This window comes from Homo sapiens, chromosome 20 (genome assembly GCF_000001405.40).
Source record: "Homo sapiens chromosome 20, GRCh38.p14 Primary Assembly".
Classification (NCBI taxonomy): domain Eukaryota; kingdom Metazoa; phylum Chordata; class Mammalia; order Primates; family Hominidae; genus Homo; species Homo sapiens.
In genome coordinates this window covers 56,576,626-56,602,343 of record NC_000020.11, presented here as the reverse complement: position 1 = coordinate 56,602,343, position 25,718 = coordinate 56,576,626, and the positions used below count along the sequence as shown (strand labels likewise).

Sequence of the window (25,718 nt, the reverse complement as noted above, 5' to 3'; positions counted from 1 at the left end):
TGTATATTTACAGTGTACAACATGTTTTGATATATGTATAATACAATTGTGGAGGCTGGGCACGGTGGCTCACGTCTTCTTTTTCCTTTGGGAAAAAAATATATATACACACATACATATATATAAATATATATACATATATACACACATAAATATATATGCATATGTATACACACATATATATAAATATATATACATATATACACACACACACACATATATATATATTTGAAGGATTCCTTTTGTGCCCACAAAGATTTTTCTCAGTTTGCACAAACTTGTACTTGGCCTCCTCAGGTGTAATACGATGTACAGCAAAGCGACCCTTGGTGTCATAGATCAGACGGAAATTCTCTCCCGACTTGTCAATGCTGTTGACATCCATGAATCCAGCAGAGTAGGTTATATCAGTACGGACCTTGCCATTGATCTTAATGAACCGCTGCATGCAAATCTTCTTTACTTCATTTCCAGTGAGGACATACTTAAGTCTGTTCCTTAGGAAAATGATGAGGGGGAGACACTCTCTCAAATTGTGGGGACTGGTGGATGGATGAGGAGCAAACACACCAGTCAATTTATTCAGCATCCAATGCTTTGGAGCTGCTACCTGCTTCAGATGCTTCTTGGGACCACGAGCCATGGCTGCATTAGGCAAGGAAAGAGGACCTCTGTCTTCCGGTGTGCGTAGACATTGGGGCCCTAATTTTTATATTTTGCAGAGTCGGGGTCTCTCTATGTTGCCCAGGCCAGTCTTGAACTCCTGGGCTCAAGCTATCCTCCCACCTCAGCCTCCCAAAGTGCTGGGATTTCAGGCATAAGCCACCATGCCCGGTCTTTTCTCTTTTTTTTGTAAATACAGAAAAGGTCTTGCTCTGTTTCCCAGGCTGGAGTACAGTGGCACCATCATAGTTCACTGCAGCCTCCAACTACTAGGCTCAAAAGATCCTCCCACCTCAGTCCCCCAAGTATCTGGAATTACAGGCTTGAGCCACCACGCCCAGCATGCATTTTTTAACATCTGGGGAAAAGTCCACCTTAAGGAATGTAAGTTAGTTGATACATAAAAACAATAATTTTCTCCTGTGGTAGGAGACCAAGATTTGTAGGATATGTTATTCTAGTAAACAAGAAAATATTCCAGGAGAATTTAGAATTTTCATTTTATCAGGTGGCAGCAAATCTATGAGACACCCCCACTCCCCAGGTGTGGTGATTAAGGGAAAGTCTTGTAAGCCTGAATAGCCCATCCAGGAGACAGGTAACAAAAGCACTGGCACATAAACCATAACCAAGACAACCCAGGGCATGGGCATGATTTCTGCTTCCTGGGTCTAGCTTATTTACATTTTTATTTTTATTTTTATCTTTAGACACGGAGCCTCCTGTCACCCAGGCTGGAGCGCAGTGGCACAATCTCGCTCACTGCAACCTCCGCCTCCCGGGTTCAAGTGATTCTCCTGCCTCAGCCTCCCGAGTAGCTGGGACTACAGGCGCGTGCCCTCATGCTCGGCTAATTTTTTTGTATTTTTAGTAAAGATGGAGTTTCACCATATTGGCCAGGTTGGTCTTGAGCTCCTGACCTCATGATCTGCCCGCCTCAGCCTCCCAAAATTCTGGGATTACAGGCATGAACCACCACACTGGCCGGGTCTAACTTATTGAAAGGTGGCTTGGTACCAATGTTTAAATAAAAGCAACCAAAATGAGGACTGCTCTGTTACTCACAGACTCTGGGTTACTCAGGCACGGGGTCACAGCACCTACACAGATAATTGATGGAAGCAGAGGCTTTTCTGTTACTGGAATGCACACCATGTCGCTGGACTTGCGAACATCTTTAGAGGATTCTGTACTAGACATTTGGAGACTGAGCCTGTCTGTGATCAAAAGCCCTCTGGCACATAATTATTCGCATGTCTTTTTTTCTTTTTTTCTTTTTCTTTTTTTTTGAGATGGAGTCTTGCTCTGTCGCCCGGGCTGGAGTGCAATGGTGCAATCTCGGCTCACTGCAACCTCCACCTCCCAGGTTCAAGCAATTCTCCTGCCTCAGCTGGAGTAGCTGGGATTATAGGTGCGTGCCACCATGCCCGGGTAATTTTTGTATTTTTAGTAGAGTTGGGGTTTTACCATGTTGGCCAGGCTGGTCTCAAACTCCTGACCTCAGGTGATCCGCCTGCCTCGGCCTCCCAAAGTGCTGAGATTACAGGCGTGAGCCACTGCACCCAGCCTTTTTTTTTTTCCCCCCTTTTGAAACTGAGCTTCACTCTTGTCACCCAGGCTGGAGTGCAATGGCGCAATCTCGGCTCACTGCAACCTCCGCCTCCCAGGTTCATGCAATTCTCCTGCCTCAGCCTCCTGAGTAGCTAGGATTACAGGCACCCACCACCACGCCCAGCTACTTTTTGTATTTTTAGTAGAGACGGGGTTTTGCCATGTTGGCCAGGCTGGTCTCAAACTCCTGATCTCAGGTGATCCACCCACCTCAGCCTCCCAAAGTGCTGGGATTACAGGCATGAGCCACTAGGCCCGAAATTATTAGTATGTCTTAACCCTTTCCTAGGCACCAGGATAAGGGTTTTCCTGTAAATCCACAAACATCCATTGAGCACCTACCATACACTCTCACAATTACAGGCACTGCGCATAGAGCAGTGAACAAAATAGACCTAGTGCCCAACACTTTGGAGTTTCTGGTCTACTGGGGACACAGCAATCAAATATCTATGTGGTATTGCATGCCTTAGTCGTGGCTACTCAGAAGGCTGAGTGGGGAGGATCACTTGAGCCCAGGAGGTTGAGGCTGCAGTGAGCCGTGATTGTGCCACTGCACTCCAGCCTAGGTGACAAAGTGAGACCCTGACTCAAACATATATATATATATCACATACATATATATATATATATCACATACATATATATATATATATCACATACATATATATATACACACATACATATATATAAAATATATGTGATATATATTATATATATACACATACATATATATAATATATGTGTATATATAATATATAAAATAAATACATATATTTATACTATATATATACACACACCATATATATACACATATATGTGCTACAACATGTGAAAGAGTGATGGAGGAGGGAAGATATTCCAAATAAAAGAAACAGCATGTGTCTTGCTATGCAACTTTAACTTGAGGAATTTCACCTACTCCCTAGCAGTATGATTTTGGATTAGACAGCCACTCATGACCTCATTTTTTTCATCAATAAAGTACTAACAACCACAGCGCATTGCTAGCCCCAAAGGTGCATCATTTCTAGCTAATGAACAGGGACCACCCAGAACCCTGGGGAAATAATTGCAACCTCCCTTCGCTGGTCCTAAGGCCCTGCATGCTCCCCAGCACCCCAGCTGGGCTCTTGCTCCTTAATCCTGCTGCGAACCCTAACCCAGAGCTTTGTCTCTGGGAAGTGCGGTTAGGAGAGGTGGGAAATTAAACTCTCTAGGTGTTGTCTCAACATCATTTACCAGAAGCACGTGTCCTCTTGATAATAATACCAATTTTAATTAAGTGATCTGGTACTGGTATAGGGTAATCAGAAAACTTAATAAAATAGAATAAGGTGTTTAGAATTCCATCCACATATATATGGGGGTTTGGTAAATGGTAAAAGGTATTATTTCCCATCAGTGGAGAAATAACAAGTTATTCAATAAATGACATTAAGGAGAAGCATTTTGGGGAAATTTTTAATTCCTTATTCCAAAAAAGATTACAGTTGTCCCTCAGTATCCATGGGGGATTGGTTCCAGGACTCTCCTCAGGCACCAAAATCCATGGATGCTCAAGTCCCTTGCATAAAATGATGGAGAATTTGCATGTAACCAACCATACATCCTTCTGTATACAGTTAAGATTCTTAGAAACTTTGACTTAAAGGGAAAGGATGTATAAACAAAACCAATTTGTTTTCTCATCAATGATATAATGAAACAATGTTAAATGAAAGAATGTTGGCCAGGCACAGTGGCTCATGCCTGCAATCCCAGCACTTTAAGAGGCTGAGGCGGGCGGATCACCTGAGGTCAGGAGTTCCAGACCAGCCTGGCCAACATGGTGAAATCCCGTCACTAATAAAAATACAATAATTAGCTGGGCATGATGGTGGACACCTGTAATCCCAACTACTTGGGAGGCTGAGGCAGGAGAATCGCTTGAACCCAGCAGGCGGAGGTTGCAGTGAGCCAAGATCACACCACTGCACTCCAGCTTGGGTGACAGAGCAAGACTCCATCAAAAAAAAAGACTCCATCAAAAAAAAAAAAAGTTATTTGAGGACCTGCTGTGCAGTCTTTAGCTTTAATACCTAATACAATGTAAATGCTATGTAAATAGTTGTTATACTGTATTGTTTAGAGAATAATAACAAAAACTGTCCATGTTCAGTACAAACACAACCATCCTTTTTTATTTCTAATAATTTCCACCTGCAGTTGCTTGAATCCATGAATGAGGACCCCATGGATATGGAGGGCTGGCCGTTAGATATAGCAAACAGCTGAAGGTGTAAAAATATATTAGGAAGAAAAAGTGTTTAAGGCCAGGTGCAGTGGCTCATGCCTGTAATCGCAGCGCTTTGGGTGGCCAAGGCAGGAGGATTGCTTGAGCTCAGGAGTTTGAGAGCAGCCTGGGCAACGTGGTGAGATCCTATCTCTACAAGAAATAAAAATAATTAGCCAGCCATGATGGCTCACACGTGTACTCCCAGCTACTGGGAAGGCAGAGGTGGGAGAATTATTTGAGTCCAAAAGGTTGAAGCTGCACTGAGCTATGATCACACCACTGTACTCTAGCCTGGGTGACAGGGTGAGATCCTGCCTCTTAAATTTAAAAAAAAAAAAAAGATTTAGTAATACACATGATTTTAACACCAAGACTTGAAGAAAGAGGTTGACAAAATTTATTACATAAACATTTAAAATATGAAATATTTCAGATAGGAAAACATGGGAGGAATAATAGAATAGCCACGTGTGTACTCCCTCCCATTACAGAAGTAAAACATTATAGCAAGTTACCACCCAGGCAAGCACAATTTGGAATATTTCCTTCTGTGCATGTTTTTATTCTGCTTTTTCCCTGGTAGGTATCCATGAATCATAGGTAGGTACAAAACTCAATATAGATTTCTTTTTTAAAATTTTTTTAATTTTTATATTTATTTATTTATTTATTTATTTATTTTTTTGAGACAGTCTTGCTCTGTCATCCAGGCTGGAGAGCAGTGGTGCAATCCTGGCTTACTGCAACCTCCACCTCCTGGGTTCAAGCGATTCTCCTGCCTCAGCCTCCCGAGTAGCAGCTGGGATTACAGGCGCCCACCACCACACCCGGCTAATTTTTTTTTTTTTTTTTTGAGATGGAGGAGTCTCTGTCGCCCAGGCTGGAGTGCAATGGCGCAATCTCGGCTCACTGCAACCTCCGCCTCCCGGGTACAAGCGATTCTCCTGGCTCAGCCTCCCGAGTAGCTAGGACTACGAGTGCATGCCACTGTGCCCAGCTAATTTTCGTATTTTTAGTACAGATGGGGTTTCACCGTGTTAGCCAGGATGGTCTCGATCTCCTGACCTCATGATCCACTCACCTCAGCCTCTCAAAGTGCTGGGATTACAGGCGTGAGCTACCGCGCCCGGCCTAGATTCTAGTACCTAAATTTTTCCACCCAAGGATACATCCTGGAGATCCTTCTAGGTTGAGACACGTAGCTGTACAACACACAAATGCAAAACTGCGAAAGGAGCAGGCAATGATGCGGTACACAGCGCCCACCTAGCTAAATTCTCTCAGTGTCACCCTCAATTCTCACCTGGACCTGACCCTCTGGGGGGTTCAAGCTCTTCTCCCCATGACGCATGTGGTAATTGGGGCACAAGAGAATCCACCGTTGTGTCTAAACCATGGGGCTCTGAAGAACCCACAGTGAGAGGGAAAAAAGCCGAGATTGGCCAGAATCTGGCGGCTCTGCAGGTGAGCGATTGAAAACGCAGATCCCCTGTGGAAATAACAAAGGGCAACATCAGCCCTGGAAATTCAGATCATGCCTCAGAAAAGGTCCTTCCCCTTTTCTCCTGGGAATTGGCTCATTTACCCCAATTGATGGTCTTCCTAAACTCTAGAACATTGGTTCTCACAGAGCTATTCTCTTTGAGTGGTTCTCTTTGTTGCAACGTCAACATCTCCTGGGAAATAGTAGAAATGCAAATCAGGCCTTCTGTCCCCGTTCTTCTCCAGTCAGGAAAAGCTGGGTGGGTGGGGGGCGCGGGGTGGGGTGGGCGGGGAAGAAAAGAACAAAAAATAATTTTAAAAAGAAATGCAAATTACAGGGTCCCACTCTAGAATTCCTGAATTAGAAAGTCCCGGTGGGGGATGGGCACAGTGGCTCATGCCTGTAATCTCAGCACTTTAGGAGGCCGAGGCCGGTGGATCACTTGAGGTCAGGAGTTTAAGACCAGCCTGGCCAACATGGCGAAACCTCGTTTCTACTAAAAATACAAAAATTAGCTGGGCGTGGTGACAGGCATCTGTAGTCCCAGCTACTCAGGAGGCCAATGCAGGAGAATCGCTTGAACTCAGAAGGTGGAGGCTGCAGTGAGCCAAGATCGTGCCACTGCACTCCAGCCTGGGCAACAGAAAGACTTGGTCTCAAAAAAATGAAGAGGCCAGGCGCAGTGGCTTATGGCTGTAATCCCACCACTTTGGGAGGCTGGGGCTGGTGAATCACCTGAGGTCAGGAGTTCGAGACCAGCCTGGCCAACATAGCGAAACCCCGTCTCTACTAAAAATACAAAAATTAGCCAGGCGTGGTGGCACACGCCTGTAGTCCCAGCTACTCTGGAGGCTGAGGCAGGAGAATTGCTTGAACCTGGGAGGTGGCAGTTGCAGTGAGCTGAGATAGCACCACTGCACTCCAGCCTGGGCGACAGAGCGAGACTCAGCCTCAAGGAGAAAAAAAAAAGAAAGAAAGAAAGTCGCGATGGGGTCTGCCTTCCTCCAGGAAATTCAGATGGGAACTCCAGCTGGCAACTGCCGTGAATTTAAGATGCTCAGGGTCTTCTCTTTCTGCCAGTGCTCAGCAGTGCACAGCAGATCATAACTGATATGAATAAGCAGTAGGTGCTCAACAAATACTGTGAATAATTCTGTAAATATTTTCTAAATGCTCACCACGTGCTAGGTCTTTGCATGATGTCCCATGTCCTGGGCATCTGGAGGTAAAGTCCAGTGGGGGAAACCTGTAGGGAAAGGAGCCCTTTCGGAAGCCAGCTCTGATGGTGAGACCTTGACCCCAGCTGAGCACAAATGGGAACAAGGGGTGGGGTTGGATATGTACATGGGGAGAAGGAGATTTAGGTGCAATTTCTGCTGTTCTTCAGGGCCTGTGCTAATGTGTTTGGACTTACGTATAATAAAATACTTTGTTTTGTTTTTGTTTTGAGACAGGGTCTCTCTTTGTCACCCAGGCTAAAGGGCCATGCTGGTATCGTAGCTCACTGCAGCCTCGATCTCCCAGACTCAAGCAATCCTCCTGCCTCAGCCTCCCCAGTAGCTGGGACCATAGGTGTGCATTACCATACCTGGCTAACTTTTAAAATTTTTTGTAGAGATGGGATCTGGCTATGTTGCCCAGGCTGGTCTTGAATTCCTGTGCTCAAGGAATCCTCCTGCCTCAGCCTCCCTAAGTGCTGGGATTCCAGATGTGAGCCACTGCACCCCGCCTAGTTTTTTAATTATAAAAACAAGACATCTGCATGGCCCAGAAGACAAACAAAAACAGGGCAGAAGGACCAAAAATAGAAATTGATTTCTCCATTCCCCCAGCAATTCATCCAAATTTTAACTTATTTTTTATTTTTAAATTTTCTTTTATTTTTTATTTTTTTGAGACGGAGACTCACTCTGTCGCCCAGGTTGGAGTGCAGTGGCACGATCTCCACTCACTGCAACCTCTGCCTCCCAGGTTCAAGCTCTTTTTGTATTTTTAATAGAAACAGGGTTTCACCATGATGGCCAGGCTGGTCTCGAAGTCCTGACCTCGGGTGATCCACCCACCTCAGCCTCCCAAAGTACTGGGATTACAGGCATGAGCCATCACGCCCGGTCCATCCTCATTTTTATACTATTATTTTTTAAATTTTGAAGTCTTACTGATTTGCAAAATAAATGGCCCCACATTGTGTAGCGTGCCCGTGGCTGGAAGGCCTTCTTTAGAAACCAAGTTCATAGAGTTTCCTCACCCAAACATGCTTCTGTAGTGATTTAAGTACAGGAGTGTTAAAATGTCCTTCTTTGGAACTTCATATAAAGGTAAGCCACAGGGCTTTGAGTAAAACAAATCTAAGACAAGAAGGCCGGGCGCAGTTGCTCTCACCTGTAATCCCAGCACTTCGGGAGGCCAAGGTGGGAGGATTGCTTGATCCCAGAAGTTCCAGACAAGCCTGGGCAACATGGTGAAACCCTGTCTCTACAAAATCTACGAAAATTAGCTGGGCGTGGTGGTGTGTGTCAGCCGTCCCAGCTACTCGGGAGGCTGAGGCAGGAGAATCGTTTGAACGCAGGAGGCGGAGGTTGCAGTGAGCCAAGACTATGCCACTGCACTCTAGCCTGGTTGACCGAGCAAGAGTCCGTCTCCAAAAAAAAAAGAAAAAGAAAAAAAGTTCTGGAAGAAGTTTCAAAAGGGTATATCATGCATCCACGAAGATGGCTACGACCAAAACTGTCAGGCCTCTGAGCCCAAGCTAAGTCATCTTATCCCCTGTGTGACCTGCACATATACAAGACTCAGCCCGCCTGCACCCAGGTGATTAAAAAGTTTTATTGCTCACACAAAGCGTGTTTGGTGGTCTCTTCACACGGACGCGCGTGACAAAAACCATGAGAAGTGTTGACGAGAATGACAGACATGGGGATTATGATGCCACAAGCATGGGTACATTTTTCTAGGGAAAAAGGGCCGGAGCCAGAGTGACCATGTGGTTTATTACAGAAGGAAAGGGGGCGCAGTTAGTAATTTCCTCAGTTCATGAGACACCAACCAGGTGGATCCCAGGAAACCCTGACGTCCATCATCCTACTCCAGTGATTCTCAACCACAGGTGGGGATGGGATGGGCAATTTGCACTTCAGGGGATATCTGGGTCTGAAGACATTTTTGGTCGTCAGAACTGGGAGGGGGTGATACAGGTATCGAATGGGTAGAGGCCAAGGAAGCTTCTGTATACCGTGCAATGCACAGGGCAGCCTCCCAGAACCAAGAATGACTCAGACCCCAAAGTCAGCAGCGCAGAGGCTGAGAGATCTCCTGGTAGTCAGTCCTGTCACCGGATTCAGACCAGAGCTGAGGCTGAATTTTCAGGCTATTTTTTGGCAGGGGGATGTCGGAATGAAATTTTAACTTATTTCTCCTGCTGCCCAGCTCTGGAAAAACAATCTTAAAGTGACCAAGGAAGCACTTGAACTATTAACACCACCATTTACTTACAATGGAATTGTAACCTGCTTAACGTTATTACCTTTTTGTTCAACTTTTGCTTGTTTTAATGCAGTAAGTGTGTGTCTTCTAAAATGACCTCAATATTATCTAAATACAATCTTTTTAAAATGCCAAAGAGGTAACAGATTTAAGTACTTTGCATTTTTAGGCCCTTGTCTAGGCAGTTATATGAGTATCTATCTCTGTGCAAGCATACATAATGTTAATGTTTGCTTTGTTCTCTAATGCCAAATCCTTGATACCATCTTCAGCTCAGCCTCCTTATTTTTGACACCTGAGAGGCATTCCATTGTATGGATAGACCCTGATGTGTAAGTCAGCAACCCCTCTCTCCTCAATAGACCCTTAGGTTATTCCAGTTTTTCCTGCTTTTACAAAGAGAGATAAAAGAAGTATCCTCTGCACACCTGCTGGTTGCATGTTTTTAAAGATGAGGTTCCTGGAGTTCAAACTGCTGAGTCATGGGGTCTGCACATATTTTAAATCTTGTTAAAAACTCTTCTATAGTGATTGAAGTTTTAATACCAGGACCATATATTACCTTCATCTAAATACACAAATATGTGTGGGTTAATATCCTCCTGGAACTAGGAGACCCCCGCAGTAAAGACCAAGGCATAGCATTATAATATAGTAACTGTTAAGAGGAGGCACGGTTTTTCATCGTGTCCAAAAAAATCCTATCTAATTCAAGGGAGATAATCTTGTGAGGGCCAAGCCCAAAGTATGGTAATTACAAAAAAAAAAAACAAACCTGTTTGCTGGGGGACATTTGGAGCCAGGCCCTAGCCAGGCATATAAACCATACCTGAGAGCGCCCAGTGCATGGCCAGAATTTCTCCCCGCTCTTATGTCTGCCCAGCTGTGGGAGATGGATGTTTATCAAATACAGTGACAATGATGAATGATCTCTTCCTCACCAATTTTTTTTTTTTTTTTTTTGAGACAGAGTCTAGCTCTGTCACCAGGCTGGAGTGCAGTGGCGTGATGGCTCACTGCAACTTCTGCCTCCCGGGTTCAAGCAATTCTCCTGCCTCAACCTCCTGAGTAGCTGGGACTACAGGTGCACGCCACCACGCCCAGCTAATTTTTGTATTTTTAGTAGAGATGGGGTTTCAACATGTTGGCCAAGCTGGTCTTGAACTCCTGACCACCTCAGCCTCCCAAAGTGCTGAGATTGCAGGCGTGAGCCACTGAGCCTGGTGGAAGACAGGTTTCATTTAAAAATAACATAAATGGGCCGGGCACAGTGGCTTTGCCCTGTGATCACAGCACTTTGGGACGCTGAGGTGGGTGGATTGCTTGAGGCCAGGAGTTGAGACCAGCCTAAGCAACATGGTAAAACCCTGTCTCTACAAAAAATACAAACATTAGCTGGGCATGGTGATGCATGCCTGTAGTTCCAATTACTTGGGAGGCTTGAGGAGTAGGATTGCTTGAGCCTAGGAAGTTGAGGCTGCAGTGAACCAATCACTGCACTCCAGCCTGGGCAACAGAGCAAGATTCTGTCTCAATTAAAAACATCAAAATCGAAACAAATCACACAAATACATAGTTACAAAGTCTGGCATTGTGTTGAGTTGTTCCAGGCAGAAGGATAGCACCTGGTCTGCTATGCAGCTTTAGCTTGGAGAATTCTTCCCAATTAGCCGTGCAGCCCTAAGCATGTCACCTAAGCTCACTGATCCATCCCCTTTCACCTACTGAGTAAAAGTAATAAGCATAGTGTCACCATATTGGAACTGTGCCCATATAATTCATCATCTAAGGAAGGACTCTTTGGGGAATAATAAAAGGACATGGTCGGACGTGGTGGTTCCCGCCTGTAATCCCAGCACTTTGGGAGGCCAAGGGGGTTGGATCACGAGGTCAAGAGTTCAAGACCAGCCTGGCCAAGATGCTGAAACCCTGTCTCTACTAAAAATACAAAAATTAGCCGGGTGTGGTGGCATGCGTCTGTTATCCTAGCTACTCGGGAGGCTGAGGCGGGAGAATCGCTTGAACCCTGGGCGGCGGAGTTTGCAGTAAACCGAGATTGCACCACTGTACTCCAGCCTAAGCAACAGAGCAAGATTCTGCCTCAAAAAAATAAAAAATAAAAAAGGACACTACTAACAATGATAACAATGACAGGGGGCCAGGTGCACTGGTTCACACCTGTAATCCCAGCAATTTGGGAGGCTGAGGCAGGTGGATCACTTGAGCCCAGGAGTTCAAGACCAGCCTGGCCAACATGGTGAAACCCCGTCTCTAGTAAAGATACAAAAAAAAAAAAAAATGGCCTCGTGCAGTCGCTCATGCCTGTAATCTCAGCACTTTAGGAGGCTGAGGCAGGCAGATCATGAGGTCAAGAGCTCGAGACCATCCTGGCCAACATGGTGAAACCCCATCTCTACTAAAAATACAAAAATTAGCTGGGCGTGATGGCGTGTGCCTGTAGTCCCAACTACTCGGGAGGCTGAGGCAGGAGAATCACTTGAACTCGGGAGGCCGAGGTTGCAGTGAGCCAAGTTCGCACCACTGCACTCCAACCTGGCAACAGCGCGAAACTCTGTCTCAAAAAAAATAAAAATAAAAAATTAACTGGGCCTGGTGGCATGCACCTGTAATCCCAGCCACTAGACAGGCTAAGGCAGGAGAATCGCTTGAACCTGAGAGGCAGAGGTTGCAGTGAGCTGAGATTGCGCCACTGCACTCCAGTCTGGCGATAGAGCAAGACTCTGTCTTAAAGCAAAACAAAACAAAAACAATGACAGGGAAGCATGGTCCCCTTACTCATGTGGGCACACAGTGTGCACACTCCTACACACTCGAAGTGGGAAGCATTATCCTGATTTTACAGATGAAGACATGGAGACTCACCCAGAGAACTTACCTGCCTATTCACCTGGCAGGTAGGTGGAGGAGCCCGGATTTTTATCCAAGACTTTTTGACTCCAAAATCCAAGAGGGGAGTTATTGCGCCATACTGAGATTAAGTTGAAATACCTGCCTTGTAGGGTTGTTGTAATTGTCAAAATGTATTCAAAATTGCCTGGCCTGTAGGAGGTGCTCTAAAAAATGGAAATTATGGCCTGGCATGGTGGCTCACGCTTGTAATCCCAGCATTTTGGTAGGCCAAAGCAGGTGCATCACAAGGTCAGGAGATCGAGACCATCCTGTCCAACATGGTGAAACCCCATCTCTACTAAAAATACAAAAAATTAGCTGGGCATGGTGGCATGTGCCTGTAATCCTAGCTACTTGGGAGGCTGAGGCAGGAGAATCACTGGAACCAGGGAGTCGGAGGTTACAGTGAGCCGAGATCGCACCACTGCACTCCAGCGTGGTGACAGAGTGAGACTCAGTCTCAAAAAAATACTATTATTGTAATTAGCAAGGGCTAAAACCAACATAATCCTTGGGTTAAGCAATATCAAGACAGGCAAAAGTCACTTCACTTCTTGCTCCAAAAAAATACCTGCTCTGGAAGATAAGATTATGCATCAGATGTGAGTTCAAAACCCTGTCTTCCTGGGCCCACCATTCCAAAGCTCTTATGTCAGAAACTCCCCAATCGCAACCAGTTTCCTGCCTTGCAAGACTTGCTTTAACATCACCCAGCCAGGGCCCTAAAAACCCATAAATACCATTCCCTAATTTCCCTAATTTGAATCTGTTGACGGTGTTCTCCTTTACTGCAGGAAGTCCAAATAACCTAGTTTTGCTCGATCAACAGGTTTTTCAGGTGGAATTAAGCTAATGGAATTAAAGTCTATGAAGGCATTCAAAAATGTTTTTTGTTATTAGTCTACAAAATAGAAACAGCCAAATGTGGTAGAACCAATAATAGCCCCCAAAAGCTGTCCACATCCAAATCCCTGCAACCTATGGATATATTACCTAACATGGCGAAGGGATCTTACAGATAGGAGTAAATTAAGGATCTTGAGATAGAAAGATTATCCCAGATTATCTGGGCAGGCCCAAGGTAATCACAGGGCGCCTTCCAGAAGGGAGAGGCAGGAGGATCTGAGTCAGAGGAGGAGAGCTGAAGATGGAAGCAGAGGCTGGAGTGATGTCTGGAAAGATGGAGGTGACCACCAGGAGCCAAGGAATGCAGGCGGCTTTTAAAAGCTGGAAATGGGGCCGGGCATGGTGGCTCACGCCTGTAATCCCAGCACTTTGGGAGGCTGAGGCGGGCGGATCACGAGGTCAGGAGATCCAGACCATCCTGGCTAACAAGGTAAAACCCCGTCTCTACTAAAAATACAAAAAAAAAAGCTGGAAATGGCAAGGAAATGGATCCTGCTCTAACACCCCAGAAGGAATATAGTCCCACCAATCCTTTTTTTTTTTCTTTTGAGATGGAGTCTTGCTCTGTTGCTAGGCTGGAGTGCAGTGGCATGATCTCAGCTCACTGTAACCTCCGCCTCCCAGGTTCAAGCAATTCCCCTGCCTCAGCCTCCCAAGTAGCTGGGACTACAGGCGCGTGCCATCATGCCCAGCTAAGTTTTTTATTTTAGTAGAGACTGGGTTTCACCATGTTGGCCAGGATGGTCTCCATCTCCTGACCTCGTGATCCGCCCGCCTCAGCCTCCCAAAGTGCTGGGATTACAGGCGCCCGGTCCCACCAATCCATTTTAAACCTCTGCCTTCTAGAAATGTAAGAGAATAAATCTGTGTTGTTTGTGCTTATTTGTTGAAGCAGCAATAGAAACGAATATACTAAATATTCAAGAGAAAGAAACTATCTGAAGGTTGCCAATAGAAAGCAGTGGTGAAGCCCACAGTCTCGAAGCTAGGTTACCTGGGTTCAGATCGCTTCCCTGCCACACCCAGGCTGGGTAACAATGGTTGAGTTATTAAAGTATCTCTCTGAGCTTTACTGTTTCCATTTATAGAATCAGGATGATACAGTAACTGCCTTGCAATGTGGTGGTGAAACAATGAGATCTAATTGTATAAAGAGCTCAGTGCGGTGCCTGGCACATAGTAGGTGCTCAGCACATCTCAGCACGGAGGTTAGACATGGAGGAGCTGGGGCACATTCCTCACTCATTTTTTTGGGAAAGAGCAGGAGTGATTGGGATAACCAGGCTAATCTCAGCCATGCCGTTGCTATATGTCACTGGGCACATAATTCATCCTTCTGACATTTTATTCCTTAACTTACACAATAAATTGTATATCCTGCAAGGATTATTTCCATGGATACATTGCACCTACATCTAAGCAGCTGTAAATATGCTATAAAATGTTTTTCATGAGCATGAAGCAAGGGGCAGGATACATGCCAGAGAACTGGGAGCAGTTCATTCTCCCTTCCTCCTCCTCCTCCTCCTCCTCCTAATCCTCCCCCAACCCCCCGTCACTTCTGCATTGTTCTATGGATTGCATAAAACTTCTAGGAGAAGGAGAAAGACAGGAATGGCACTCTAGATAGCAGCAAGAACAACGAGAAAGTTCATGGGGTGGTGAGGAGGAGTGGACTTTGTGATGGGCTTGAAAATAAGCTCTAAAGACCAGCCGGGCGCAGTGGCTCACACCTGTAATCCCTGCACTTTGGGAGGCCGAGGCGGATCACCTGAGGTGAGGAGTTCAAGGCCAGCCTGGCCAACAAGATGAAACCCCATCTCTACTAAAAATACAAACAATTAGCTAGGCGTGGTGGCACATGCCTGTAATCCCAGTTACTCAGTAGGCTGAGGCAAGAGAATCACTTGAACCCGGGAGGCGGAGATTGCAGTGAGCTGAGATCATGCCACAGGAACAAAACTCCTTCTCAAAAAAACAATAATAATAAAATAAAATAAAAAACAGCCTGGGCACAGTGGCTCACACCTGTAATCCCAGCACTTTGGGAGGCTGAGGTGGGTGAATCACCTGATGTCAGGAGTTTGAGACCAGCCTGGCCAACATGGTGAAACCCCATCTCTACCAAAAATACAAAACAATTAGCCGGGGGTGGCGGCGCACGTCTGTAATCCCAGCCACTCCAGAGGCTGGAGCAGGAGAATCACTTGAACCCAGGAGGTGGAAGTTCCAGTGAGCTGAGATCGCATCATTGTACTCCAGCCTGAGCAACAAGAGCAAGACTCCATCTCAAAAATAAATAAATAAGTAAATAAAATAAAATGAAAAATGAGCTCCAAACACCTGACAGAGAAAGGGAATTCTATAAAGTAGCCTGCCTCTCTCTGTCCCCCGCCCCCCACTCCTTTTTTTTTTTTTTTTTTTTTTTTTTTTTTCAGACAGAGCCTTGCTCTGTCGCCCAGGCTGGAGTGCAATGGCCCCATCTCACACACTGCAACCTCTGCTTCCCAGGTTCAAGTGATTCTCCTGCCCAGCCTCCCGAGTAGCTGCGATTACAGGCACATGCTACCACACTCAGCTAATTTTTTAGTGGAGACAGGGTTTCACCATGTTGGCCAGGCTGATCTTGAACTCCTGACCTCAGGTGATCCGTCTGCCTTGGACTCCCAAAGTGCTGGGATTACAGGCGTAAGCCATCGTGCCTGGCCTATGTCCCTTCCTCCTTCTCACACACACACACACACACACACACACACACACACAGAGCCCTGCCTCTAGATAAGATATTTATTTATTTATTTAATTTTTTGAGGCAGAGTCTCTCTCTGTCACCCAGGCTGGAGTGCAATGGAGTGATCTCGGCTCATTGTGACCTCCACCTCCTGGGTCCAAGTGATTCTCCTGCCTCAGCCTCCCAAGTAACTGGGATTACAGGTGTTCACTACTATGCCCAGCTAATTTTTGTATTATTAGTAGAGACAGAGTTTTACCATGTTGACCAGGTTGGTCTTGAACTTCTGACATCAGGTGATCCACCCACCTCGGCCTCCCAAGTGCTGGGATTACAGGCCTGAGCCACCAACACCTGGCTCTTTTTTTTTTTTTTTTTTTGAGACAGAGTCTCTCCCTCTGTCGCCAGGCTGGAGTGCAGTGGCGCGATCTCGGCTGACTGCAACCTCCAGCTCCCGGGTTCAAGCAGTTCTCTGCCTGAGCCTCCCTAGTAGCTGGGATTACAGGAGCCCATGACGACGCCTGGCTAATTTTTTGTATTTTTAGTAGAGACGGGGTTTCACCATCTTGGCCAGGCGGATCTTGAATTCCTGACCTCGTGATCCACTTGCCTACGCCTCCCAAAGTGCTGGGATTACAGGCGTGAGCCGCCGCGCCCGGCCTCTTTTTTTTTTCTTTTTTTTTAAATTTACTTATTCAGGCCGGGCGCCGTGGCTCACGCCTGTAATCCCAGCACTTTGGGAGGCCAACGCAGGCGGATCACCAGGTCAGGAGATCGAGACCATCCTGGCTAACACGGTGAAACCCTGTCTCTACTAAAAATACAAAAAAATTAGCCAGGTGTGGTGCAGGCGCCTGTAGTCCCAGCTACTCGGGAGGCTGAGGCAGGAGAATGGCATGAACCCAGGAGGCGGAGCTTGCAGTGAACCGAGATTGCACCACTGCACTCCAGCCTGGGCGACAGAGCGAGACTCCGTCTCAAAAAACAAACAAACAAACAAACAAACAAAATAGCTCCCCCATAAGTCACATGAAGTCCCACTTGGAGAAATAAAAGTAAATAAAGCCGAGATTTAAAACAGGAAAAAAGCTGGGATTTGAGCCTTAAGCACATTCTCTGCTGCACCAGCTCCCCAGGTGGGCGACTGGAAATGTGGACCCACCCCATGAAGGACAATGGTAACATCAGCCCAGGAAAGAGCTGGAATTCAGTGTGGGCCTCAGAAAAGATTCTTGCTTCTCTCTGCTGGGAATTGACCCATTTGCCCTAATTCATTGTCTTCTCAAACTCCAAAACGGTGGCTCTCAAATGTAAATGTGGACCAGAACCACCCAGAGAAATTGTTAAGCCATGGATTGCTAGGATCAACCCTTAGAGTTTCTGATTCAGTGGGTCTGGGGTGAGGCCCAGGAATTTTGGGATACTGATGCTGCTCGGGTGGGGAGTGCACTTTGAGAACCCCTGGTCTAGAATTTAGGGTTTGCAGAACTCAGCACGGTGCCTGGCAGTCATCATAAATCCAACCATCACTGGGTCCTCAATTATGACTGGGTATAACTCCTCCCACTGACAATTCCTAACCGCCCACCGTCTGCCAGGGTCTTTGCCCAACACTAGGGACCCTGCTGCTCAACATATAAAGGAAAAGGAGGGGGAAGGTCTGTCTTGGGGAAAATCAGAGTCTCATGAGGAGAGCCGTCAGCAAGGGAACCCCGACAGTACAAGCCCAGCTTAGAGAGTGGAGCTTGACTTTGGTTGAGGGCAACTGGGGTGCAGATGGCCAAAGTCGGGGGATGATGCGGAATGAGCAGTGGGAGAGATGAAGATCATACAAAAAGCAATAAGCAATTCCTTGGTCACTTGTATTTCCACGCACATTAGTTATCTATTGTGTAAACAAATTACCCAAAACCTAGTGGCTTTTTTCTTTTTTTTTTTTTTGAGACAGAGTCTTGTTCTGTTGCCCAGGCTGGAGTGCAGTGGTGCGATCTCGGCTCACTGCAACCTCCACCTCCCGGGTTCAAGCAATTCTCCTGCCTCAGCCTCCTGAGTAGCTGAGATTACAGGCGCCCGCCACCTTGCCCAGCTAATTTTTTTGTATTTTTGGTAGAGACGGGGTTTCACCATGTTGGTCAGGCTGGTCTCAAATTTCTAGCTTCAAGGGATTATCCCGCCTTGACCTCTCAAAGGTCTGGTTTCTTTTAGTGGAAGGTGGTGTTTAGAAACAAAGATCTGACTACTAAGTGTGCTCATTACTACTGGGGTATGGGTGTGTGTGTGTACACATTTACATTGATTGTTTTATATATTTATATGGAAAAACACATTCATATTAATTCTTCCCATTCCAAAAAGCTCCCCAGGATTCATTCTAGCATTTCCTCCTTCCATAATTGGACTTTTTTTTTCTCTGAAAATAAGAAACTTGAGCCGGATGTGGTGGCTTATGCCTGTAATCCCAGCACTTTGGGAGGCCAAGGCGGGCAGATCACGAGGTCAGGAGATCGAGACCATCCTGGCTAACACGGTGAAACCCCGTCTTTACTAAAAATACAAAAAAAAAAAAAAATTAGCCAGGCGTGGTGGTGGGCACCTGTAGTCCCAGCAACTCAGGAGGCTGAGGCAGGAGAATGGCGTGAACTCAGGAGACAGAGCTTGCAGTGAGCTGAGATCGCGCCACTACACTCTAGCCTGGGCAACAGAGTGAGACTCTGTCTCTTAAAAAAAAAAAAGAAAGTAAGAAACTTGGATCCCTGAAATCCTCCATATATTGACTCATTTTCTCCGTCACCCTGTGTGCAGCAAATCTCCTCAACTACTGGGCCATTGGATCTCCCAGGCACCCTGACAATATGAGCACCAGCTCCCTGCCAGGTTGCTGCCCCACCCTGTCCCAGGGACTTCCACAGAGGGCACACAAAATATATGTTCTCCATATTTAGTTCCATTTGGCTTAATGATACTTTACGTAGTATTTTTGAACTGTGTTCCTAAGCAATACTGGCCATGGTGTTTGTTTCTCTCCTCTCTGGTATTGTACTAAGATGAATCTAGCCTCACTAAATGAGATGGGTGCTGGGTGAGGTGGCTCACACCTGTAATCCCAGCACTTTGGGAGGCTAAGGTGGGTGGGTTACATGAGCCCAGAAGTTGGAGACCAGCCTGACCAACATGGTGAAGCCCCATCTCTACTAAAAATACAAAAATTAGCCAGATGTGGTGGCATATGCCTGTAATCCCAGCTACTTGGGAGACTAAAGCAGGAGAATTGCTTGACACCAGAAGGCAGAGGTTGCAGTGAGCCAAGATCACGCCACTGCACTCCAGCCTGGGTGACAGAGTGACACTCAGTCTCAAAAGAAAAACAAATGAGATGGGGAGTGAAATGGTTTGACTTTGTGTCCCCATCCAAATCTCATCTCAAATTGTAATCCCCACATGGGAAGGGAGAAACTTGTAATCCCCACGTGTCAGGGGAGGAGGAAATTGGATCATGGCTGTGGCTTCCCCCATGCTGTTCTCAGGAGATCTGATGGTTTTCTAAGTGTTTGACAGTTCCTCCTTCACACACGCTCTCTCTCGCCTTCTGCCATGTAGGATGTGTCTGCTTCCCCTTCTGCCATGTTTGTAAGTTTCCTGAGGCATCCCAAGCCATGTGGAACTGTGAGTCAGTTAAATCTCTTTCCTTTATAAATTATCCAGTCTCAGGGAAGTTCTTTTTTTTTTTTATTGAGACGGAATTTTGCTCTGTTGCCCAGGCTGGAGTGCAATGGCGTGATCTTGGCTCACTGCAATCTCCGCCTCCTGGGTTCAAGTGATTCTCCTGCCTCAGCCTCCCGAGTAGCTGGGATTACAGGCATGGACCACCATGTCTGGCTAATTTTGTATTTTTAGTACAGACAGGGTTTCTCCATGTTGGTCAGGCTGGTCTCAAACTCCCGACCTCAGGTGATCCGCTTGCCTCAGCCTCCCAAAGTGCTAGGATTACAGGCGTGAGCCACCGCGCCCGGCCAGAGAGGTTGTTTATAGCAGTGTGAAAACAGACTAGCACAGGGAGTTTTCTCTCATTTTTTATTCTCTGGAACAATACAAGGATTATCTGTTTTTTATTTGTTAGGACTTTCTTGCAAAATCACAGAGGTTTTGTAGAGTCTCTTGGCTGCATGTAAAACTACTGATTCAATATAATGAATGTAGGTGTACTGCAGTCCTCAAAAGTGATTTTGGTAGGTTGTGTTTTCCCAGGAAATTGTCGTTTTCTTCTAAATTTTCAAATTCATTGGTATATAGCTGCTTCAAAGTGTTCTCTTATCTCTGTGTATTTACTTTTCAGAGACAGGGTCGCCCTCTGTCACCCACACTGGAGTGCAGTGACATGATCACAGCTCACTGCAGCCTCAAACTCCTAGTCTCAAGTGATCCTCCTGTCTCAGTCTCCCAAGTAGCTGGGATTAGAGGCACATGCCAGTGTGCTTGGCTTGTCCTTTTATTTTTTAATCTCTACCATGTCTGTAGTGCCTCTGTTTCCATTCATAAAATGTATAATTTTCTTTTTTTTCATAAATAATATCTTAGTTATTTGTCTTAGTTATTAGTCTTAGTTATTTGTCTTCATTTTCAAAGAGCCAACTTCTGGTTTTGTTGATACTCTGAGTGCATTCTAATTAATTTCTACTATTATTTTTATCATTCTCTTTCATTTTCTTTGGATTTACTCTGGTGTCCTTTTCTAATTTGTTGAGTTGAAACTTTAACTCATTATTTTTTGGTCTTTCTTCCTGATTATATATGTGCATTTATTTAAGGCCATATATTTTCTCTTAGGTACAACCTTACCTGCCTCCCACGCATTTAACTAGGTAGGGTTTTCATTGTCCTTCAGTTCTAGGTATTTTCCCATTTACATTGTGATTTCCTCTTTGATTGTGACCTATTTAGAGGCTTGTCTTTAAACTTCCAAATGTATAGAATGTTTTTGGATTCTTGATATAGCTTTATATAAAAACATAATAAAGTTTGAATCACAAGAACAAATTGAACTATATTCAGCTGGCAAAACTCAGTTATACATTTTAAAACATTTTATAGCAAAGAAAATGTTGGCTGGGCATGGTACTCACGCTTGTAATCCAAGCACTTTGGGAGGCCAAGGCGGGCAGATCACCTGAGGTCAGGAGTTCGACACCAGCCCGGCCAACATGGTGAAACCCTGTCTCTACTAAAAATACAAAAATTAGCTGGGCATGGTGGTGCATGCCTGTAATCCTAGCTACTTGGGAGGCTGAGGGGGGAAAATCACTTGAACCCGGGAGGCAGAGGTTGCAGTGAGCTGAGATCACGCCATTGCACTCCAGCCTGGGCAATAGAGCAAGATTCTGTCTCAAACAAAACAAAACAAAAAAAAAGAAAACCTTTCAGATGTGTGCAGCAGGTGCATTTTGTTATGGTTTACAGGTTGTGGGGTGTCAGTAAGTAAAGTATGAATGTGTAGATCCTACAAAGATCTTCAACTGATCTTGAGGGGTTGGAAATAAGTCTAAGGCAGACATGAGTTACTGTGGGAGATAAAAGATGACCCCTGGTTCCAAAGAACCTAGAAACAATGTGGACAGGAAAGAAAACAGCTAAGTTCATCATCCTTTATCCCCTCACTTCTCCATCCATGGAGAACTGTTTTCCCAGGTCCAGCCTGCCTTCTGCGAAAGGATTCCTCTTTTTTCACATACCCAGGCCTAGTTAGAAATGCTCCCGAGGGAGTGTCCACAGGGGTTGGGGCGCAGGGAGGGATGCCCCAGGCTGGTCTCTTCGAGTGGATGCCAGGTAGTCCCGCAGTCAGACACTCGGGAGGGCCGGCCAGTGGTCGGCGTCGGGTTGTGGACCTGCATCTGCCGGGGATCCAGGCCTAGGTAGCCTCTCAGTGATGTTTCCCCCCAACCCACCCACCTTGTTCTTTTTGACGCTCTCAGGGGCTCCTGGAGCAGACTTTTTGTTCTGAATTAAATGGTGGTTTTGCCAGCAACCTTCAGGGCTGGGGTATTTCCAGCAAGGGATGCCCCGACTCCTCTTCCCACGGGTGTACTGTGGACGGAGAAGACACAGCCCAGGTGCAGTCAGGTCTCTTCCCCTCACACTGGAGCCACTGGGCCTTCCCTCCTCCATTTCTACAGCAGAGAAGGGTGGGAGCAGCTGTGGGATGGGGGTGGCCACCCCAAATAACTGCAGTGATAACAATAATATAAATGAAACAAAATTAGGCGAGGCTGTGTTCAAAGTGAGAAGGAAAAGACCCTTATTTGGGCCCTAACCGTGCCAAGGTTCTGAAGCAGGAGCTTCGGCTGCTTGAATAAACCCTGTGGGTGCCCAGTGCCCACTGTCCTGAATCCTTCATTTCCCTTGCCAAAAAGCAATGCATGAGGGTCGTTGGTTCTCTCTAGAACACAGAGAAGTAAACTCTGAAGACGGCCCTCCTAAAGATCTGTCCTTTCTTACACCCTTTATTAACCCTCCTGAGAAGCTCAAATGTTCTTGTAATGCCACACGGGACCAGCTGTGAGCGCAGGGTCTGGAGGCCAGTGGAGACAGGGCAAGTCCTCACCCACCCCTCCCAGCCTTGCGCATGTCACGTCACCTCCCTGAGCCTCAGAGTCCTCATTTGCAAAATGGAAATAAACCTCCCTGCAAGGCTGCTGGGATGATGAAATGAGGTAAGGTTATAAAATACATACCTCTGTGGTCACACTATGAAAATGAGCACTTTGGTCAGAAGAAGCTCTTTGGACAGATGGCCACGACCTCAGACACACAGTTCCCCAGTAGGGAGCAGCTACTGAAAATTGCTGAGTGACCCTGGGCCGGGCCCCACCTCTTTCAGGATCTCAGCTTCCTCTCCTGTAAAGCAAAAAATTGCTGGGCGAGAGCTCCACTAAATTCCTGAAATTCTGTACACCTGGGACATGACCTGGAGCACACAGCCCCGCTCACAGGCTCTCTGGATGCCTGTTCATCAGCAGGAAGAAGGAGCTGGGCTTCCAAAGCACCATGGCTTCTGTCCTCACTGGCCGTTTCTGCATCTCATTCTGGGGTGCCTGCCTGGCACCTCCGGCCCTAACACTGTCCAGCCTTCCGCTGGAGCTAGAGCCTTGGGCTCACTGCTGACCTGGGGAGTGGAAGTCCTGCATTTTGAACAGAGCCTTGAGAATTCTTGCTTTCTTTCTTTTATTATTATTATTTTTTTGAGACGGGGTTTCGCTGTTGTTGCCCAGGCTGGAGTACAATGGCACAATCTCAGCTCACCACAACCTCCGCCTCCCGGGTTCAAGTGATTCTCCTGCCACAGCCTCCCAAGTAGCTGGGACTACAGGCATGCACCACTATGCCCAGCTAATTTTGTGTTTTTAGTAGACACGGGGCTTCTCCATGTTGGTCAGGCTGGTCTCAAACTCCCGACCGGTGATCCGCCTGCCTTGGCCTCCCAGAGTGCTGGGATTACAGGTGTGAGCCACTGTGCCTGGCCCGAGAAATCTTGCTTTCTACCTGCTTTTCTCTGAGCCTCAGTTTCTTCCTCCCTAAGATAAGGTGGTTAGACATTTACTTATTATAATTTTTTTTTTTTAATAGAAATGGAGGTCTCACCATGATGCCCAGACTGGTCTCAAACTCCTGGCCTCAAGCAATCCTCTCCCAAAGTGCTGGGATTACAAGTGTGAGCCACTGTACCCAGCCCCTATTTTTTTTGTTTGTTTGTTTGTTTGAAACGGAGTCTCACTCTGTCACCCAGGCTGGAGTGCAGTGGTGCGATCTCGGCTCACTGCAATCTCTGCCTCCCGGGTTCAAGCAATTCTCCTGCCTCAGCCTCTTGAGTAGCTGGGACTTCAGGCACACGCCGCCACACTCAGCTAATTTTTTTTTTTTTTTTTTTAGAGATGGGGTTTCACCATATTGCCCAGGCTGGTCTCAAACTCCTGAGCTCAGGCAACCTGCCCGCCTCGGCCTCCCAAAATGCTGGAATTACAGGCTTGAGCCACTGCGCCTGGCCTTTTATTTATTATTTTTTTGAGACAGAGTCTCACTCTGTCGCCAGGCTGGAGTGCAGTGGTGCGATCTCAGCTCACTACAACCTCCACCTCCTGGGTTCATGCCATTTTCCTGCCTCAGCCTCCCAAGTAGCTAGGATTACAGGTGCCCGCCACCATGCCTGGCTAATTTTTTGTATTTTTAGTAGAGACGGGGTTTCACCGTGTTAGCCAGGATGGTCTCGATCTCCTGACCTCGTGATCCGCCTGCCTCGGCCTCCCAAAGTGCTGGGATTACAGGCGTGAGCCACTGCACCTGGCTGACAGCTGCCATTTCTTACTGGGTCTTCACTGTGAGAGATGAGTGTGTTGCTGTCCCCATGAGTCGGATACAGAACCTGAATCCTCTTTGGTCATATGGCTGGGAGTGCAGGAACCGGGACTTGAACTCAGGCCTATAGACCCTGAACTTTGGTGGGAGGAGAGACCTGGGTCCAAATCCTGTCTCCACAAGTACACGGAGCCCTGGGAAAGCAAGATGGGAGATGTGCAGTCCTTAGGTTTGGCCACATGATGGCAAGCTGACCCCAGGCATGTGTTCCTAGGCCTTGCCATCAAAGAGGCACAAATGTGTGTTGACTCCCCAGCCCATACCTTATTTTCTCTCTCCAGTCCTGAATCTGGTTTTGCAGGGATTGCAATGATCTTTAAAATAAAATAAAATAAAATAAAATAAGATCAGGGATTATGTTAAAGTCTCTCGGGACTTCTCATCATATTGAGAATAAAATCAACAAATCCAGGTAAGACCTGGCCCCTGCACACCCTTCCTCCTCCACGTTCTTCCATCCTGCAGGCAGCCTGCCTGCTCCGGGACAACTGTGGGTGAGCAATGGCTCAGCTGGCTCAACTGATAAATTTGGAGGTTGGGCCCTGGGTGGTCCAGGGATTCTCCCATCCTGCCATCCTATAGTTCCATGATTTGGAGACTGAGAGTCTTGTGTATGCTGATAAAATTAACCGCTCCAGGCCAATAACATGAAACTTGAAGCTCTGGTTTGAGAGTGATTTCATTCGTTCATTCATTTATTCATCAAAGTCTTTTTTTTTTTTTTTGAGACTGAGTTTTGCTCTTGTCGCCCAGGCTGGAGTGCAATGGCGTGATCTTGGCTCACTGCAACCTCCGTCTCCTGGGTCCAAGCAATTCTCCTGCCTCAGCCTCCCAAGTAGCTGGGACTACAGGCATGCCCCACCATGCCCAGCTAATTTTTTTTTTTTTTTTGAGACGGAGTTTTGCTCTTGTTGCCCAGGCTGGAGTGCAATGGCGCAATCTCGGCTTACTGCAACCTCCGCCTCCCAGGTTCAAGCGATTTTCCTGCCTCAGCCTCCTGAGTAGCTGGGACTACAGGCATGTGCCACTACGCCTGGCTAATTTTGTATTTTTAGTGGAGATGGGATTTCTCCATGTTAGTCAGGCTGGTCTCGAACTCCTGACCTCAGGTGATCTGCCCACCTCAGCCTCCTAAAGTGTTGGGATTACAGGCGTGAGCCACCCCGCCTGGCCTAATTTTTGCATTTTTAGTAGAGATGGGGTTTCACTATGTTGGCCAGGCTGGTCTTGAACTCCTGACCTCAGGTGAT

General features: G+C 46.5%; 1 long non-coding RNA gene and 1 pseudogene across 1 annotated transcript, besides 3 other annotated features; both read right to left on the bottom strand.

Moving 5' to 3' along the window:
* On the bottom strand, positions 230 to 696 carry RPS4XP3 (ribosomal protein S4X pseudogene 3; annotated as a pseudogene).
* Positions 5,604 to 6,196: an enhancer, noted in NCBI's record as "OCT4-NANOG-H3K27ac-H3K4me1 hESC enhancer chr20:55171204-55171796 (GRCh37/hg19 assembly coordinates)". NCBI's record gives its function as "activates a minimal SCP1, AML or CMV promoter by ChIP-STARR-seq in naive and primed H9 embryonic stem cells {active_cell/tissue: H9 hESC(naive and primed)}" and the evidence as "EXISTENCE:reporter gene assay evidence [ECO:0000049][PMID:30033119]".
* Positions 6,197 to 6,788: an enhancer, noted in NCBI's record as "OCT4-NANOG-H3K27ac-H3K4me1 hESC enhancer chr20:55170612-55171203 (GRCh37/hg19 assembly coordinates)". NCBI's record gives its function as "activates a minimal SCP1, AML or CMV promoter by ChIP-STARR-seq in naive H9 embryonic stem cells {active_cell/tissue: H9 hESC(naive)}" and the evidence as "EXISTENCE:reporter gene assay evidence [ECO:0000049][PMID:30033119]".
* On the bottom strand, positions 6,218 to 24,781 carry LINC01716 (long intergenic non-protein coding RNA 1716). The gene is made up of 6 exons (NR_136537.1): positions 24,732 to 24,781; positions 24,394 to 24,602; positions 22,791 to 22,953; positions 22,009 to 22,143; positions 7,214 to 7,281; positions 6,218 to 6,290 (listed from the first exon to the last, which is right to left on the bottom strand). It is a non-coding gene; the product is annotated as a long intergenic non-protein coding RNA 1716 (long non-coding RNA).
* Positions 17,034 to 17,666: an enhancer, noted in NCBI's record as "H3K27ac-H3K4me1 hESC enhancer chr20:55159734-55160366 (GRCh37/hg19 assembly coordinates)". NCBI's record gives its function as "activates a minimal SCP1, AML or CMV promoter by ChIP-STARR-seq in primed H9 embryonic stem cells {active_cell/tissue: H9 hESC(primed)}" and the evidence as "EXISTENCE:reporter gene assay evidence [ECO:0000049][PMID:30033119]".
* Positions 24,782 to 25,718: the final 937 nt, after the last annotated feature.